The sequence below is a fragment of the Homo sapiens genome, chromosome 5, assembly GCF_000001405.40.
Source record: "Homo sapiens chromosome 5, GRCh38.p14 Primary Assembly".
NCBI classification, from domain to species: domain Eukaryota; kingdom Metazoa; phylum Chordata; class Mammalia; order Primates; family Hominidae; genus Homo; species Homo sapiens.
In genome coordinates this window covers 173469756-173488525 of record NC_000005.10, presented here as the reverse complement: position 1 = coordinate 173488525, position 18770 = coordinate 173469756, and the positions used below count along the sequence as shown (strand labels likewise).

At 45.3% G+C, this 18770-nt stretch overlaps 1 long non-coding RNA gene across 2 annotated transcripts in view; it reads right to left on the bottom strand.

Moving 5' to 3' along the window:
• Positions 1-18770, bottom strand: part of LOC105377732 (uncharacterized) — a 139446-nt gene that overhangs the window by 35908 nt on the left and 84768 nt on the right. For both annotated transcript variants that reach the window (XR_001743001.1, XR_007059057.1), the window contains 2 exons: positions 11049-11127; positions 3238-4278 (listed from right to left, as the gene is read on the bottom strand). This is a non-coding gene — a long non-coding RNA (uncharacterized LOC105377732). The remainder of the gene's footprint in view (positions 1-3237; positions 4279-11048; positions 11128-18770) is intronic.

Here is an 18770-nt window from a genome sequence, read left to right as displayed (position 1 = left end):
TGAAAGCAAATATTAAAAACAAACCTATCTACAGGCCAGGCTGAATTTGTAGCAAGTCCATGCACTTCCTGAGCCCACCTTTCTGGAACAAAAGCAGGTCTCAACCCAGCCTCAGAAGCCAGCATGGGCTGAGTTGCTACTTGTTGCAGCCAAGGCTCTCCCTACCGACCAAACGCTCAACAATGTGGTCACTCCTTCCCTAGTGACAAACCCCCACAGTCAGCCATTGGCTGGGACAACGAAGGGCTGTATGTTTTATGACATCGTTCATGGCCACCAAACTGCCACTTCTACTCCTTGGAAATCAGCCAAAAACTCCAAGCCACCTCCTTTCCCAAACATCTTTCTTCGAGGACAAGGTATATCTTTGATTACCCTTTACTTGTTTTCCTGCCTCTTTGGAATTTGAGGAAGCAGGCTGAGGACCCCCCCACCACTCCCCCGCCGCCACCTGCTTTAGGTTCTGATGGATGAGGGAACCAGAAGAAAAGGAATCCAAAACCGCCTGACACATATGTAAAAGCTGCTCTTCACTGATCAGAGAGTGGGTCTCCATTGGGATGGTTGATTTCATCATCACTGAAAACCATGCAACACTGATACAAGAGATGCGTATAGTTCTATGTCATTCATCACATGTAGATTTGTGCAGCTACCATCCCAGTCAAGGTACAGAGCTGCTCCATCACCACAAAGACCTCTCTGTTACTGACCCTCTATGGTCGTGCTCACTGCCATCCCCAACCCGTGGCAACAACTGATCTGTCCTCCATCCCTATAATTTTGTTATTTTGTGAATGTTATATAAATGAAATCCTAGAGTATATGATCTTTCAAGATTGGCTTATCCTTATTGCACTCAGCCTTTTGCCCTTGAAATCTATCCTACCCACCAGCAAGCAGGTACTCAGAGCTGTAGCCTCCCACTCCCTCCAGGCCATGGGCCTTTGACAGACAAATGCTCTGAACTTCCATCTCTTGGAAACCTGTCCTAGGATATTGTTTCATGACAACCACAGGACATAAGTATTCTTCCTCCTATCAATAATAAGAATCTGAGGTCAACCCACTGGTAACAACTGGAGCCAGGCTTTAGACCTGGTCTATCTGATTCCCAAGAAAGACAAAACCCCAGCTCTGTGTAAATAATGCTGTTTCCATGCAGACTGCAGGGCCGAGTTTAATAAGTTCATATCTGGATCCTACTAACTGGAATGCTCACTATCCAAAGAGTCTCAACTACCTAGGATTTGTTTTAATCAGGTGTGATAAAACACGCAGACACAGAAACAATTTTCAATAATTGTCTCATTTTGTCTCAACGGAGGGAAACTTTACTGTGCTTTTTGTGGGAAGGTATGGGTGAGAGAGGGTAAGCAGGCTCAGAATGGGCTAGTTTGAACAATTTTAGCAGACTCTGAGCTGTGAGGGTGGGTGTCCTGCCCTGGGATAATTGGGGCAGGTGTCCAGTGGCCTAGAGCATAAAAGCCTACATAAAGGCGGTGGTGATGCCAAGGAAGTGGTGGGCTCTGGATTGGTTTGTTTGCATATGAAAGGCACATTTGCAGTCCAGTGTTTTAGTATCTTTAGGAATTGGCCAAGCCCTCCAGCGTCTGCAAGATCTCAACATGACAAAGTGTCTAGTATAGAAACCAGAAAATGTGGTTATTACAAAAGTCAATGAAAATAACTGCAAGCCAAATCAAAACCCACCAAGGAGAGGAATCCATTTTCAATGGGGAGTTCTCTCTGGGAGAAACCAAGCTAGTTTTCTCTGCTCATTCTGTCCTTGGTGCTCGTGCTATCTTGGTGAGAAGTCCAGCAGTGTCCATTCAGGGTAATGTGCTTGTGTGCTCCCCTTCCCCCAGCTGGACCCTTGGCTGAGACTTAAAAATTCTAACTATGCATTCATGCAAGGGAGCTAGGTGGGAAAATGATGGGCTGTGGATAGTCCTCGCTGGTTTTTACCCAATCTAGAAAGCAGCCAAGTGCTCAGGGCTGCCCTCCCCTCCCACAGTCTTTCCTTCTGACCGACAGGACAGAATGTTCCCTGTCCCCACAGACCAAACAAAGGCATAAGAAAATGGCTGCCCCAGGGCATGGCTGTTAATATGCCAACAAACTATGCCTTCTGTCAAGATGTTCTCATGGACAAAAACTTCACACAAAACCTCAAGATACAACTTCTCTCTCTCCCTAACTTAACATCCATACCTAAAGAAAGAGCCTCCCTTGCAGGCCTTCCATCACCATCATCCTACCATGTATACATGCCACTCTGCATGCTGTATCTCATTTCTTCCTTCCAACAACACTTCAATCAAGTATTATGTTTATTCCCCGTCATGCAGATGAGGAAACTGAGGCTTAAGAGATGAAGTAATTGGGCTGAGCTCATTTACGCAATTCAACATAGGTCCTCACGGTCTTTCCAACAACTGTTGTCCGTACATATAGCCCCCATCATTCTCAGCAAACTAACACAAGAACAGAAAACCAAACACCACATGTTCTCACTCATAAGTGGGAGTTGAACAATGAGAACACATGGACACAGGAAGGGGAACATCACACACCAGGGCCCATTGGGGGGTGAGGGGCTAGGGGAGGGATAGCATTAGGAAAAATACCTAATGTAGATGACGGTTTGATGGGTGCAGCAAACCATCATGGCATGTGTATCCCTATGTAACAAACCTGCACGTTCTGCACATGTACCCCAGAACTTAAAGTATAATTTAAAAAATTATTATATTTAAATTTAAAAAGGCCTATTTGCAAAGACAGCACCATAGACTAAGGAATAGCTATGATTAGGAATAGCAAAACTTCCCACTCTCTCCATCCCTTCCCATATATCCAGGTCAAAGTGTCCTAGACTCAGGGGAAGGAAGAGAGATGGAGATGAAGCACAGGAAGAGAAAGGAGTATCCCATCTCCTGCCCCTGGACTTGGCCAAAAGAAGATTCAGAGGGTAGCAGAGACCCTGTGCAGTCTTCCGCAAACTTCAGTCATTTACATATCACCCCGTGTATTTTGGCTGTGACTTTTCACCTGTAGTAGTATTTACTTACTATTTTTCTTCAAATCGACTTTTAAATAATTCTTTTTGAAAACCTCCTCCTAGCCAGTAGTTTTCTTGAAAACATAAACTTGATCTGCTAGTTATATTTTTCTGGTACTCATAAAAATAACTTGTTATAATTTACATTTCTAAATGTTTGAATTGATATTCACCTTGATGGTTGCCCTGCTTGGGAAAATGGTGTGTTCATGTCATCTCTCCCAGGTAACATAGCTACACTTTCAGATCTGAGCCCTGGAGAACGGAGTGTATCACTGGAGGGGGATCTTTTGGAACACCTGGGTAACCAGAAGGAAATGATGGGCCAGCGTGTGGTATGTGTCAAAAATGCCAAGAAGAAGACCAGAGCTGAGAAAAAAAAAATGCAAGGAAAAAAAAGCTGAAAACATTATGTTTAGCCCCAGCTCTCACTAAAACATCATGCCCTGTGAGACCACTGGTTTGTGGCATGCTGGAAAGAAATGCCTGCAAGATATTCCTACGTACCTTCGTGAGTTTACTCTCTGAGAAGACCCTGAGCTTTGAATCTCATAGATAGCAAATGACCGACCTGTGGCTCCCTTTGGAAATGATAGGCACGCACCCCCACAAACTACTTGGTTTTGCTCTGTCTACAAACCCTCATGCCCACAGAGGCCAGGCAGATAGCGAGCGAAGTGTACCTAGTGTCAGAAATGCTACAGTGCATGCAGGATGAGAAATGGCCTCTGACGGTAGCCTCAGGAGGGGAAGGCGTGAGAGGATGGTGAGGACCGAGGGAAACGGCATCAGCTGATTATTTCATGCCCCAGCAGGGATCTACTTTGGCCAAATGTTCAGATATGGTTTAAGGAAGCTGAAAAAGGATACTGTTATGTGTGTGCTCTTAATTTTAAAGTATTGAAAATCCAAATTAAAAAGAAAGAAACTCTATAGAGAACACCACATGGACCAAACTTGGTCTAGAGGTTTCTAGTTGTAGCCTCTGTGTTTGACCTTGGACCATAGCTGCCTTCTCTCTGGAGATAAAACCTTATGCATCTTATCTTATAGTCCCGATAATGCCTGTGAGGAAGGCCTGGTTGTCCCGATGTTAGAGGCAGGGATGTAGCATTGTGGTTATGAGAGCAGGCCCCAGAATCTGAGTGCCTGGGTTCCTCAGCTGTGTGACCTTGGGCAAGTTCCTTCATCTCTCTGTGCCTCAGTTTCCTCATCTATAAAGCAATTAAAAACAATGATAGGATGTTAGGAGGAGTAGTCAAATGAGATTATGAATCTACCTTGTTAAGCATATATTAAGCATCCAAAAAAGTATTGGTTTTTGATATTGATAAGTGGCTCGTTTGAGGTCACACAGCTTCTACATGGCAGAGTCCAGGTCTACTGACTGCAAAGCCACCAGACCATATGTTTCTCTATCATACGAACAGCAAATTAAGTCACCTGCAAACCCACAGCCCAGTTTAGCACCATGCTCAAATCAAACTTCCAAGAAAGTTACTCTGACACGCCTTTAGCGGTATGCACAGTCATTGGGTCACAGCCTGGAAAATTAGGCTCTGCCACACCTTTAGCAGTATGTTACTCTGCCACACCTTTAGCAGTATGCATAGCCATTGTGTCACAGCCTGGGAAATTAGGCTCTGACACACCTTTAGCAGTATGTTACTCTGACACACCTTTAGCAGTATGCACAGTCATTGGGTCACAGCCTGGAAAATTAGGCTCTGACACACCTTTAGCAGTATGTTACTCTGACACACCTTTAGCGGTATGCATAGCCATTGTGTCACAGCCTGGGAAATTAGGCTCTGACACACCTTTAGCAGTATGCATAGTCATTGTGTCACAGCCTGGGAAATTAGGCTCAGGTGAAAGCACTGTGGGGCCGCAGGAGGAACTCCGTGTGTGAAGCCACTCAGGCCTCAATCCAGACCCAAGCTGCATGACCTCCCTCTCTAAGCCTCAGTATCCCAATCTGAGAAATGAGTATAATAGTGTTACTAATAGTTACCTGCTGTAGTGCGGTCTCAATGAAACGACATGAGGGCAAGCTCTTTAGAAACTGAGAAGAACCACACCTGCTAATGTGGTAGCTAATATCTACGATTATTCAACTCTTACATGGTAAGAGAGTCAGCAGTCCTGGGTTTGACAGGACAAGGCCAGACTGCATCAGATGGAACCAGGAAGTGGCTCTGAGCCTCCTGGACCAAGGTTTAGAGCTGGAAGGGAGCAGGGAAGGGGTCTGCATTCATTGCCAGGATGTTGAGAGACCAGACTGGATGTGAATCTGGGTAGGACAGAAATTACTTCTCCTTATTGAGGAATAAAGAAGGCTAAGCCTCCCCTTCCAAATGGAAAAGACAGAGTAGATGAATTAATTATTACTTGAGTAACAAATTAACTGTTAAGTAAGAAAGTGTGGGAATACAGGACTCAAATGGACACAGCAATTTTTAAAAACCAATGTCTATAAATAGGATACCTAAGATTTGTGCATTTTATTGATGTTCAAAAGAAAATAACTGTAAAAAATAATGAACTCTAGTTTACAATATCCATTCTAAAGTAAACTGGCTAGGGGGTGTGTATTGATGTCTGCAACTTACTCTGAAATACACCCCCAAAATTATAGAGGATGGATAGCTAGAAGCAGAGCTAGACAGAAAGTCATAAGATAAGGCTAAGTACACTAAAATGTGAACGCCTGTAGAATCTAGGTGGTAGACATTGGAGTGCTTGCATTAAAATTATTTCAACCTTTCTCCACTGTTTGAAAATCTTTAAGTTCTTAGAAAACTTGATGCTTACAGAATAATTTTAGTGACAAGAACAATAGTCATATTATAACCTTAGCAGGAAAAGCAAACTAAACCATCTCAGCTACATAGAGACTCCTCTGCAACCATGATGGAATTTAAGCGTTTGAGAAAAGACACTCTTTTGAAAAAGGAGGGGAAAAATGTCACCCAAAATATTATCATTGGAGATGAATTCATTTGCACCTTGAGGACTTCTGTCTTTCCAGAATCCTCTTTTCTGGTTAGGGTGTCCTTAAAAAAAACACCCCTCAAATTATTACCAATGTACCTAGAAGGGACAGAGAAACTGGCAATCAGCTGACAGTAAAATAAATTTGGGTAATAATAAGAGGTGAGAGGCCACCACTAAAGAGCTGGGGGAATGGGGTTGGATAAGGACAAACCCCTTTTCTGAACACGGTCTCCTAGTGACTGCATCACAACACTGCCATATTGTGTCATACAGATAGGAAAATTGAGGCACAAAGCTGTTTAGAGACCTACCTCTGGTCACAGAATGCTCTAAAAATATAATCACTAAGGAGCAGCAACTTCACCATCTCTGCCGTGGATTCTGCTCTACCCAATGCACCTGCCCTAAAGCACAGGAAGTCAGTGGGAAGCCAAGAGCAGGTATGCCCAGGAGTGGGGTAGGGAGAACACCAGAAGAGCTGCATTCCTAGGCTTCTGCAAAGGGCATTGACCCCATCCCACTACTTCCAAGTGGGCAAACAGCTCTCTGGTTCTCTGCCATTACTGTTCGGGGAAGGCATTCTAGCCTCCGGGTTGGGGGAGACGAGGAGCCGGCAAAGCTACACACACTCCATCATTTTCCCTTCACCATCAGTCCCAAAGCAAACCTTTCTGCCATCATGGTCACCTGTCACTTTGCCGATGTAGAAATCTGCAGGGGGTGGGCCATGGAAGGGTGGGAGGGAGGCAAGGAAGGGGAACAAGGGTTTTCTGGTCAGGTCCAAACACTCAGTGAGATGACCAAGGCGCCTCCCTGTGACCCACTGAAGATGCTCCAATGGCAAGTCAGCTTGGAGCTCACGATTCCTGAAAATGCTTGTTGAACAGCCTCTTGGAGAGTCAGTAAAGCTTGGAATTGCTCAGAACATCTTTGCCCATTAAACTGCCTTTTTTTTTTTCTTTACAAAATCTGGCTGTTCTTCCCAAAAGGTTTTGACTAGAAATTTTTTAAATGTCTTCAACATATTTCTGGACCATTTTTTGAAACCAGGGGGATTTCAACTGCCACTCCCCCCAGAGAGCTTTCCCTGCTCCACACCACACCACGAAGCAAGGGTCCTGAGTCAGACCGCACAGGTCATAAAGCTAGAATCATCGTAACAGCATCCCAGGCCAGGGACACAATGCAAGCATATCACTTTTGACCAATGGAAGTGGCCTCCCAAAACTGGGTCCAAGCCAGGAAAATAAGCACTGGGGTGGAAGAGGTAAAATGAACAACTAAAAGCATTTCAGATGACAGTTCAGAATCATTCAGTTGACAAATATTTATTGAGCATCTACTAAGTGCCAAGCCCTGGAGGCACAATGCTCAGCTGTCTTAGAGCTCATGGTCTATGATTCACTCATGTACCCAATCTCCTAAGACATGCAACATCTAAGCTGCCCTCCAGGCCCTTAATGGATTTATGTGCTAACTGAGACCACTCAGACAGCAGAGGAAGTGTGTATAACCAGAGCCATGCTGGGTGACAAGGACATGACTACATGGGAGACCAGAGCCCACTGCAGGGCGGGAAGAACTCAGGTAGGCAGCAGAAAGGAGGCCACTTAGGTTGCAATTAATCCCAAGACAAACCCTGTTTGCAGCCCAGTTCACGAACTTCTCTTCCTAGGTTTTGAGACCTCACAATGGCTACCTGACGGCTTCCAGGCAAAGGGGAATTCACGATGTTAATAAGAGGAGAAACCGGACGAAAGAGCAGGAAATTCAGAGTCCTGAGGCTTCCTATTTTGCTGATCTGAAACCCCCTAAGAAACCATCTGTCCTGACTACTCCAAGACACTCAACAAACATCACTTTTGGTTCTTCCCAAGAATCCTGCCAGTTTGCCAACTGTATGGATGTCCATAGGACCCTGCTGGAAAAGATGTCCCTAAGCATCTTGACTGTGAAACTATATGTCAGATGGGTCCCCACTTCTTCACAGAGCAGGGAGGAGGGCAGTTTGCAATAGGTAGTTTCACTTGGTTCTGTCTACCACCTAAGATGTGAGCTGTGACTCTGGAGTCCTTGAAAGATGTATCTGGGCTTCTTGGAACACAGCAGGCTCCCTGGATTCTTGAACCTAATGAGGATTGAGATGCTTTGTTTTGATCTCTGCCCTAAGCCAGGGATGGTCAAAATACTCTGGATTTGTACTTATGTAGGTAGCTCCATTTTTAGGCAAAATTACACAGGGCGACTTAACTGGTGTTGGCACGTCCTGAGGTAGCATCCCTGGCTGCCCGTGCCCAACCTTGTAAGTCTGTGCCTTGGTTCATCAGCCCAAAGTGGGACAGGAAAGACTCACTGAGCTCCGTCTTTAATAACATTTTAAAAAATGTTTAAGAACCACCATAAAAATCCATTGGATGGCATTTTTTTCCACTTTGGCAAAACTAGAGTCATAGTCTATGTTATTGCAAACTCAACCACAAGAGAAGAAAGTCGGCCAGTCACAATTTAGAAAATCACATTCCAATAGTACTGGAAGCACATATTAGCTGAGCAGAGATGTGTCCAGTCACATCTATCTTTTTCCGCAGACACAGCTCCCCTAAGCCACTATTGAGCAACCTGGCTCACTTTTCCAAGCAGCCTCTGCATGCTGGAGATTGACCTGACATGATTCTGTTTCTCCAACCTACAGATAGGGAAGCCTTGGACTTGGTACAGTTTGAAGAGCCCCAGAAGAAGACCCCTTGACTTGGCAGGACGTGAAGTGACCCACTTCACTTCTTACCAATTTAGGATTCATTGGGTGGAATATTAACTCTGAAAGTTCCCTTATAAATGTGGCGTGTCCCTGGGAGGAATAATGTATTAAACCACACAGCCCATCCACACTTTAGCATGGAGTAGTCTAATCTTTTTATGAAGCATCTACTCTGAACCAGGAATTTAAGTAGTTTCTTTAGACAGTCACATAATCAGACCTTAAAGAAATTAAACTTTGTAAAATTTTGATGAGGAAAAGTTTGGACATGTCCTAGATAGCACGGGGTTAGCGTGAGGATGCTACACGGACAAGACTGCCACCATTCAGAGAGGTAGATGGCCAAGGAGAGAGTGATTAACTCGTATGAGGAACTCAAGGCAGGCTTCAGAGAGGTGACATTTCCGCAGATTTTGAAGGACAAGGAACAGACCAACAGGTAGCCAACGTAAGGGAATTCTGGGTCGAAGAAACAGCATGGGGCCGTGCACAGTGGCTCCCGCCTGTAATCCCAGCACTTTGGGAGGCAGAGGTGGGCAGATCACTTGAGGTCAGGAGTTTGAGACCAGAGCCTGGCCAACATGGTGAAACCCAGTCTCTACTAAAAATACAAAAATTAGCCAGGCATGGTGGTGGGCATCTGTAATCCCATCTACTTGGGAGGCTGAGGCAGGAGAATCACTTGAACTCGCGAAGTGGAGGTTGCAGTGAACCGAGATCCTGCCACTGCACTTCAGCCTGGGTGACAGAGGGAGATTCCATCTCAGAAAAATAAAAAAGAAAGAAAAAAGAAAAGAAAAGGAGAAACAGCATGGGAACATGTACCAGTGTGTAAAATGACACTGTGTATAGATCGTCTGAATTCCAGCTGGAATACTCAAGAGAATTCAAGATGAGTTTAGAAAATGGACTATTAACAAAGGTGTGTGTGCATTACAGGGAAACCACAAGAGACAGTGCAGGAGTTGTGGGGGCGGGGGGTGCCGTACGACCCCTAGATGCAAAAGATGGAAGGAGGCAGCAGTTATCTGAATACAGAAAGAGAAAATTATGTGGAGAGGGCCACCTTGAAAGGATCTGAGACTTCTAAGGCACCGCTGAGGGAATAAATACCCCCCACCTCTCTCCTCCCTCCTCAGATCTCTTGTGGGACCCCTCCCCCAATGACCAACCCAACCACAAGCCAGAGGTTGGGGCAGGGCAGCCCGGCCAAGCATCCCTTGCAGTCAGACTTCTGGGGTGCAGAGCTGGGCAGAGACGAATAGAGTGAGGCTCTGGGGAGGAGGTAACTGGAAAATGCCCAGTGCATGAGACGTGGCTGGAACATGGAGTATGGGTGGGACAGGAGACAGAAGGACACAGAGCAGGGAGGTGACCGCAAAAGACCTGTCAGGCTGAGAGCGAGCAGGGACATTGACCTCCGGGGACATAGAGACCCCGGCCTGTCCTGCAAGCCCTGGAGACAAACATCCATCAAACGACCCCTGGTAGCCAATAACTTCCCAAGTTGCACTTTGGAAGGTGACCCCAGCCGTTTTTGTCTCCTGGAGTTCTGGACACGGCAGGTGGGAGCCTATGGAAGCAGAAGGGAAGTGTCTACCAGTGGCTACCCCAGGCAACGCCACCGAGTACATCTTGAACCAGTTAAACCCAGTCTATCTCTTGTATTTCTAGTCCATTCCACCTTTTTTCCCCTGCTGACGTAGAAAGAGGGCCCTGAGATGAGAAACTCCGCAGGCACAGGTTTCCCAGAAAGATGAGAAATGTCTGCTTTCCCCCAGGGACAGCGCCAGGCGGCCAGCCGAGAAGCCAAGTCAGTCCTGCCCTGTAAGGCTTCAGAAAAAAGACAAGCACCAGCCCCCTCCTGTCTGGGAAACATTCAAAGCAATCTCCGAAGTGATTCATTAAAAGTCCTCCTATGGCAGAAGACCATCACCCAGATGTGAAAATAAACACAGAGGGAAATTCCAGCATCAGAACGGTGTCAAGTCTTTAAACAAATGCATGGCTATTTCAGGGAAGGGAATAATCTTTCGACTATCTTTCCAAGCCCTCAGAATCCAAGTCAGACTCTCCATAAAGCAGGCCAGGCAAATTCCCACGATGCCAGACTGGGAAAAATGTGAAAACACTCAGTTGACTGTGGGCACAGTGACTCTCTGGGGCCCTTCCCACTTGCACTTCTCAGCAACCCCGCTCCCCACGCCAGGGCCAGCCACCCAAGCTTACCAAGCTCCCGATAGTGCAGCCCTCAGCTCGGCCTTGATAAAGCATCAGAGGTTAAAGCAGAAGCAATCCTTTCATTCTACTGAAATAAATCATCACAGAAAATAAATGGGACATGAACCAATATCAAGCAAAACAGAGAGTGTGTATATACCAATAGAAATAATAAAAATGGGCCAGGCGCGGTGGCTCACACCTGTAATCCCAGCACTTTGGGAGGCCGAGGCGGGTGGATCACGAGGTCAGGAGATTGAGACCATCCTGGCTAACATGGTGAAACCCTGTCTCTACTAAAAATACAAAAAATTAGCCGGGCGTGGTGGCGAGTGCCTGTAGTCCCAGCTACTTGGGAGGCTGAGGCAGGAGAATGTTGGGAACCTGGGAGGTGGAGCTTGCAGTGAGCCAAGATTGTGCCACTGCACTCCAGCCTGGGTGACAGAGCAAGGCTCTGTAGAAAGAAAGAAAGAAAGAAAGAGAGAGAGAGAGAGAGAGAGAGAGGGAGGGAGGGAGGGAGGGAGGGAGGGAGGGAAAAGAAAGAAAGAAAGGAAGGAAGAAAGAAAGAAGGAAAAAATGGGAGAAAATATGAGTATGTTTGCGCACAGAATACGTGTTTTCATGTCCAGTGTCTAGCAGGGTGAATGGTACACAGTAGGCATTTGATAAACATGAAGGAAGGCAGGGAGGGAGATTATCAACTCAAGTTGTCCCAGAACCCACGAGTTGCTGAAGTACTGACCGTACTTAGGGTACCCAGTAGAACCACAGCTGACTCGCACTCACCGCCAATTAACTGGTAAAGTTTGGAAAAGCCTAAGTTCCTTAAAGCCAAGTTCAAATCCTTCCCATCATAAGATATCAAACTTCTCCCACACAGCTGGAATTTATTCTGTTGTGTGTGTGGTAAAACACACATAACATAAAATTTACCATCTTAACCATTTGTAAGTGTTAAGTGCAGTGGCACTGAGCACATTGTTGTGCTATTATTAGCCCCATCCACCCACAGAACTCTTTTCATCTTGCAAAACTGAAACTCTGTACCCATTAAATAACTTCCATTCCTTACTGCCCCCAGCCCCAGGCAACCACCATTCTATTTTCTGTCTGAATTTGACTATTCCAGGCACATCATGTAAGTGGCATCATGCAGTATTTGTCTTTTTGTGTCTGGCTTACTTCACTTAGCACAATATCCTCTCAAGTTTCATCTATTTCATAGCATAGGTCAGAATTTCCTTCTTTTTCGCAGCTGAATAATATTCCACTGCATGTATACACTACGTCTTGTTTATCCATTCATCTGTTGGTGGACAGTTGGTGGATTCCTCCCTTTGCCATTGTGAATAACGCTGCCATGAACATGAGTGTGCAAATCTATCTCCGAGACTTTACTTTCAATTCTTTTGGGTATATACCACTGATACTACTTTTTAGCAATGAAATTTCCCCTGAATGAGTCAATCATTTAGCTGTCAAATGATTCAAGAATGCAGCAATTGTGAACTTATTCATATTTAGATTAGACTGTACCCTGTGCATACAGATAGCTATGAACCTGTGAGAACCCCTCTCCCAGTCACAGGCAGCTACACATTCTCAGTGAAAATCAGTGAAAAGGGTAGGGTTCCAAAGCCTGAGAGACCCAGGTGCAAATCTCAGGAGGAGCCCTTATTAGCTGTGTGGCTTATGCAAGACAGTGAACCAAAACATTCCTCAGTCTCTTCCCTGCAAACTGAGGAGTGAAGTGAAGGCTATCAGGAAAGTGTCCGAGGTGCCTGGTGCGTTGTGAGCACTCCGTAAACAGTGCACTTTCTCAGCTCTAAGATGCCCCTCCTTTGTTCACAATTTCACATTTCTAAAATCATATTTCCAAATTGAGGGTGTGCACTACCAGACACCAGCTTTTTCACTGCTGGTGCATTGACTGAACTTAGCCAAATGTCTCTGAAGAGACACAGAATTTCCCCAAGAAGATTCTGCGTTCCTGCAGGAGGAGAGGGATTTGGTGGGAAGCTTGCCCCGCACTGCACACCTTTTCCAAGCTGTGCCATCAGCGTTCCCTACAGTTCTCTTCGCCACTCTAAAGCTTAGGAGAAATAAAATCTGCTCCAGCCATCCATTTATTCAGCCATCCATCCCACACTTACCGAGGGACTGCCCTGTGCCAAACCTGATGTAGCTACTGGAAACCAGGAGATGACTAGAACAGGCCTCTTCTCCACAGGAAGTCACGGTGGAAGTGGGGGAGGAACAAAAGTAATAAGAATAGCAAACACTTACATGGGCATGTGCGCTAGGCACTGCTTCCAGTGCCACTGCCTAACTCATTAGTTCTCCCAGCAGCCCTAAGAGATAGTAAGTCATAACAATGACTTCCACTTACCGATGTGGAAACAGAGTAATAGAGAGTAACTTGCCCAAGTTGCACAGCTGGTAAACGATAGAGCTGAGATTTGCATTCCAGCCCTATGACTCCAGAGTCCATACTCCTAACAGGGCTGAGAGTCAAGAAATTTTAACCTCGGGTACTACACAGGCACCAACCAATCAGAACAAATGCCAGGGATTTTTATGATGCTCTTATATACCAGCTGAAACTCAGCAAGCCCTGCACTAACCACGTTTAACCTCTAGACTGTAGGAATCTAAGTTTAGACTAATGGGAGTCCTGTGGCAGAGGCATGAAGGAAGGTCCCCACCAGCACCCAAGATTCAGCAGGCCCAGCAGTCATTGGCCAACAATCACTGACTGCTTGTGGAACTTTAATACCTTTGCAGGTTGACAAGCGGTGAACCTGTAAATAGCTCTCCTTAGCATGGTTCTCCATAAATCACCGAGGGCCATTGTCACACATGGGATCTCATGTAACCTTCAAGACAGCCTATGAAGGAGGCCTCATTGCCTTCCCAGTTGACAAAGGAGTAAAGTGGGGCTCAGTGGGGTGAAGTGGTGCAATGAACTCCAAGTCAAAAATGTACACCTATCTGTCAAAGTCCCCTGTTCAGCTCAAATAAAGGAATTACTCTCAAAGAGAACATCTTTGACCCAATTCTATATGCTTGCCCAAAGCAATGGAGCTGGGATTGAATCCCACGCCTTTGTCTCCCACCAATGAGCAGCTCAGCTATCAGGGTCCCTTCCTTTATTTTCTGCCTGCTGTCCCCTTCTCAAGGTATCTACCCCCAGCCTCTCTGGTCAACCCGCACTATCAAAAACAGAACCCCTGTGGCTCTCCACTGCCTTGTCCTGCTCCGTTCTTCTTCAGGGCATTTATGATGATCTGGAATAGTAGTAGATTTATTTGTTTTGTGGCTATTTCTCCCTAACAAGAATATAAGTTCCATGAGGGTAGGAAATGTGTTTGTTTTGCTTTTTGCTGTGTTCTGGTGCATTGTACATGGTCAGTGAGATTTAGTCCAATGAATGAACACGTAAATGAATGGAAGATGGGTTAATGAATTACTCTCTTGTCTAAGAAGCCAGAAACAAGGGCTAGGAACTCACCTGGGACCCTGCAGGTCTAAGGTCCCCCCCAAGCTTGGGCTCAAGACTAATAGAAAACCTTGACCTCTTGCCTTCCCTTTCCCAGTCTCCTCCTCTTTCAAGGGCACTCTGACTTCAGGGTTCCTTTTGAAAAACACCCCATAGCTTCAGATCTTTCTCACTCACCCATTGCCTCGCACACATGCACACTTCCCTACTTTTACCCCAAAACAGAAGCAGACCTGGTCTATCTACGCAGGTACCTTGTAATCCTGTAACCTCATTCATGCACAGGCATTGGTGAATGATAACAGGTAACAGAAGTGATTTTTAAAAGGGCCTTCCAGTGACAACGTCGTGACATACTAGAATGGATGACTGTAGGAGTTTCTGGTGTCCTGGAAACCTCATATGTCTCATCATACACACACAAAAATGCCTGTGGATGTCATTCATTCATTTATTCATTTATTCACTCGATCGTTCAGCAAATGTTTACTAAGTGCCTTCTGCCTGCCAGGAAATGTCCTGGGTGCTGAGAATACACAGTGAGCAAGACAGCCCAGGTCACTGCTCTCAGAAATCCACCATCTAGTTGAAGAGGCAGAGCAGTAAGCAAAGACCTTGCCGAGGAGTTTAAATTCTTATTCTTACATTAGAACACAAGGTGGTAAGAGCACTAACAGAAATCTGTGCCGGGACCAGAGGCAGCTACCAAAGGAGTGGGGAGTCAAGGAGGCCTGCTGGAAAAACTGCAGTCTCTGATGGCTGTTGATGGTAGGCTAGGAGTTCACCAGGGAGCCAAGAGGTGTGGGTGTTCCAGGGTCTGCAATGATGCAGAGGTCTGAGGTGGCACAAGCAAGGCTGGCTCTGAGCCCACCCTGCTCCATGACAGCTTCAAAAATTGCTGAAGCTCAGCACAGCCAAGGCATGTGTACCAGGCAGGAGGAAAAAACAACAGGGCAGGGTGTCCTTGGGACAGATTAGATGCCAGTAATTCTTCCCTCCTTTTGGAATGTTAGAAACCAAGTATGTGTTCCTGGGGTTCTCATTCTCTATAAAATTGCCCAATTTCATTCTTATAATAACCTACGAGGCAAATCAGCTGCCTCTGCACACAATTTCCCGTGCCGCCTTGACCCTGCCACATCCAAGGAGCTGTTTAAACAGTCTGCTGTCTTTTCCCCTGAATGTCAAGAGAAAGAGAGCTGATGGCATCAGCAGCCACAACCATTATGCATGACCTGAGAGTTTTCTTTGACCCGCCAACTAAGGTAAATGCCTTTTGACAAAGACACCCAAGACTTCACTTTTAATTCAACTTGAACCTAAGTTTCTCTCCAGAGCACTGTCTCCAAAACGCTCAATTGCCCAGTGCAAAGAATCATAGCTCTTTCCTTTTCTGGCTTTCTCTGATACAACAAGCTTACAGCAACCGTCAGAAAAGAAGGCAAGTAACATCTGTGGTGGAGACCAGACTATGAAATTAGTTCAAACATACAGCAAAGCACTGTGCTCACTGCAGAGAGACACATGCTGTTCCGTGGATGTGAGCCCATTCATGAGTCACCATGCATAATAGGGCATTGTTGAAAGTGTTGGGAACATGAAAAATTCCTCACTGCCCAGTTTGGCTAATGCTGGAGCTATATTTGCCTTCAGAAATGAAGTCAAACAGAGTTGGCTTAACTTCCAGTTGACAGGCCCAAAGACCACTGGGCCACCATGTTTATTATGCTGATTTTTGTTTATAGGAGTTGCCGCCTGAGTTGTGTTTAAGAGGATGTTTTTTGTTTGTTTGCTTGTTTGTTTGGGGTTTTTGTTTTTGTTTTTGTCTTTTTGAGACGGAGTTTCAATCTTGTCACCCAGGCTAGAGTGCAATGGCGCGATCTCTGCTCACTACAACTTCTGCTTCCCGGGTTCAAGCGATTCTCCTGCCTCAGCCTCCCGAGTAGCTGGGATTACAGGCGCCCACCACCAGGCCCAGCTAATTTTTCTATTTTTAGTAGAGATAGGGTTTCGCCATGTTGGTCAGGCTGGTCTCGAACTCCTGACCTCAGGTGATTCTCGTGTCTCAGCCTCTCAAAGTGCTGGAATTACAGACGAGAGCCACTGTGCCTGGCCTGTGTTTCAGAGTTGACTTCTCATCTGCATGTACAAGGAAAGAGAATTCTTTGACAAAGGACATGCACAGACCTCTGACCCTCCCAGAGGGTCCTTGAACACAAGAAGGACTGTTTTAAAGCCCTCCACAACACAGCTCTGTGCTATCAGGTGGATTGGCGGGAAAAAACTTGCCCATGATTTGGTGTGAAGAAACACAGCAGGGTCTGCAGGCAACAATCCTTCTGCAATAATACATAATATCTCTCACTTCCCGATTACCTGTTATTCAGTTCTTAATATGCATGACTCCATTTCCTTGTCGCATCCCTGAGACACAGGCCACATCAACCTCATCTTATAGATAAGGAAGCTGGACTCTGAGAGGTGACAGAACATGCCTATGTTACAGAGCTAATGATTTGCACAGCTGGGATTTGAACCCAAATACACATAGACTTATTTATATATGTATTTGTAATCAGGTAAATTATGCATATCTTTATTTTAAATATGTCTAACACATACATTAATGTCAATATACACATTTATACACATACATATATGTTTATTTCTTGCCCGCCTGGAGAAACCATGTTAGGCTGACAAAGTGTTCTACAAAGTCATATAGATATAAATAAATATGTTATATATTTTATTTATTTCTTAATTTATAAATGGATGTTACATATTTCTTCATCTATTTAGAAATAAACACCTTTAGTTGGGTGTGTGTGTGTGTGTATATATATATCTTTATATATATAAATATCTTTATATATATTTATGTATATACGTATATATGTATATATATGTGTGTATATATACATATATATACACACATATATATACATATATACGTATATATGTATATATATATATATCTTTTTTTTTTAGACGGAGTCTTGCTTTGTCACCAAGCTGGAGTGCAGTGGTGCGATCTCAGCTCACTGCAACCTCCGCCTCCTGGGTTCAAGTGATTCTCCTGCCTCAGCCTCCTGAGTAGCTGGAACTACAGGCACCCGCCACCACGCCCGGCTAATTTTTTGTATTTTTAGTACAGATGGGGTTTCACCATGTTAGCCAGGATGGTCTCGATCTCCTGACCTCGTGATCTGCCTGTGTAGTTATATTCTTAGGTATGGTTAAGGGACACTGGAGGTAATGCTCCCTCTCCAGCACACCACCACAGGACAGGATTGTGGGAAGGGAAATTTGACAGTGAAGTGGTATTGATGTCTGGGAGAGTGGTACCTTTTGAGCCTTAAATAAGGGCAGCACGAGGACCCACTTGTGCAGATCCCAGGCCTGAATGCCCAGGCCCGGATTCTTTGCAGAATCTCTATCACAGCTCTTATCACATAACTCAACACAGAGATGGCTCATTAGAACAGTCTCCCCCACAACATCCTGGATCCACCAGGACCAGGCCCTCTATCATATTCTTTGTATCTGCCACAACACCTGGAACTGTGCTTGCACTCCAAACATTTCCATGAGCTGCATGAATGGATGTATAGGTGGTTGCCTAGATGCATGGATAATTCAGCCAACCTGGGTTCAAGCCCAAGTGATACATGGTGACACATGCTTGGTTTGGAAACCATGTTAGCTGACCTTTAACATTGATGACAGGGTCTAAATTCTGTGTGTCTCATGGGGGGATCGAGAGAGGGGCTTCAGAGCACCCAGACTCACAGGGAGGAGTGAAGCGATGAAACATGACTTTCCAAAGTGGCCCTTGTCCGCTACATACGACATTCAACACCTACTGGATGCCTATTCGGTGCCTGGTACTACTGGGTTAGTGCCCTGGGTGACACCGTCAGATGGGAATAAGAACAGAGGATTGGGCTGGTGTAGGGGCAGGGAAACTAGAATTCAGCATTGTCTTTTTAAAGCGTCAAGTTCTATGCATAGAAATGAGTGTAGACAGAACTCTCCTGGTTCGCTTTGAATAAAAAATGAACTTGGGAGCTTCCTAGAAGACAGAAGACCATTGCATGGATACGTCTGTGGAGGGTACACAAGTAGACACTTGGAGCAAATTGCCTCTAATTTCCCATCTAATCCTGACATTGCTTGATGCCATCACTGAGCATGGGACATATCTGAATATGTATTACTCTGATGAAAAA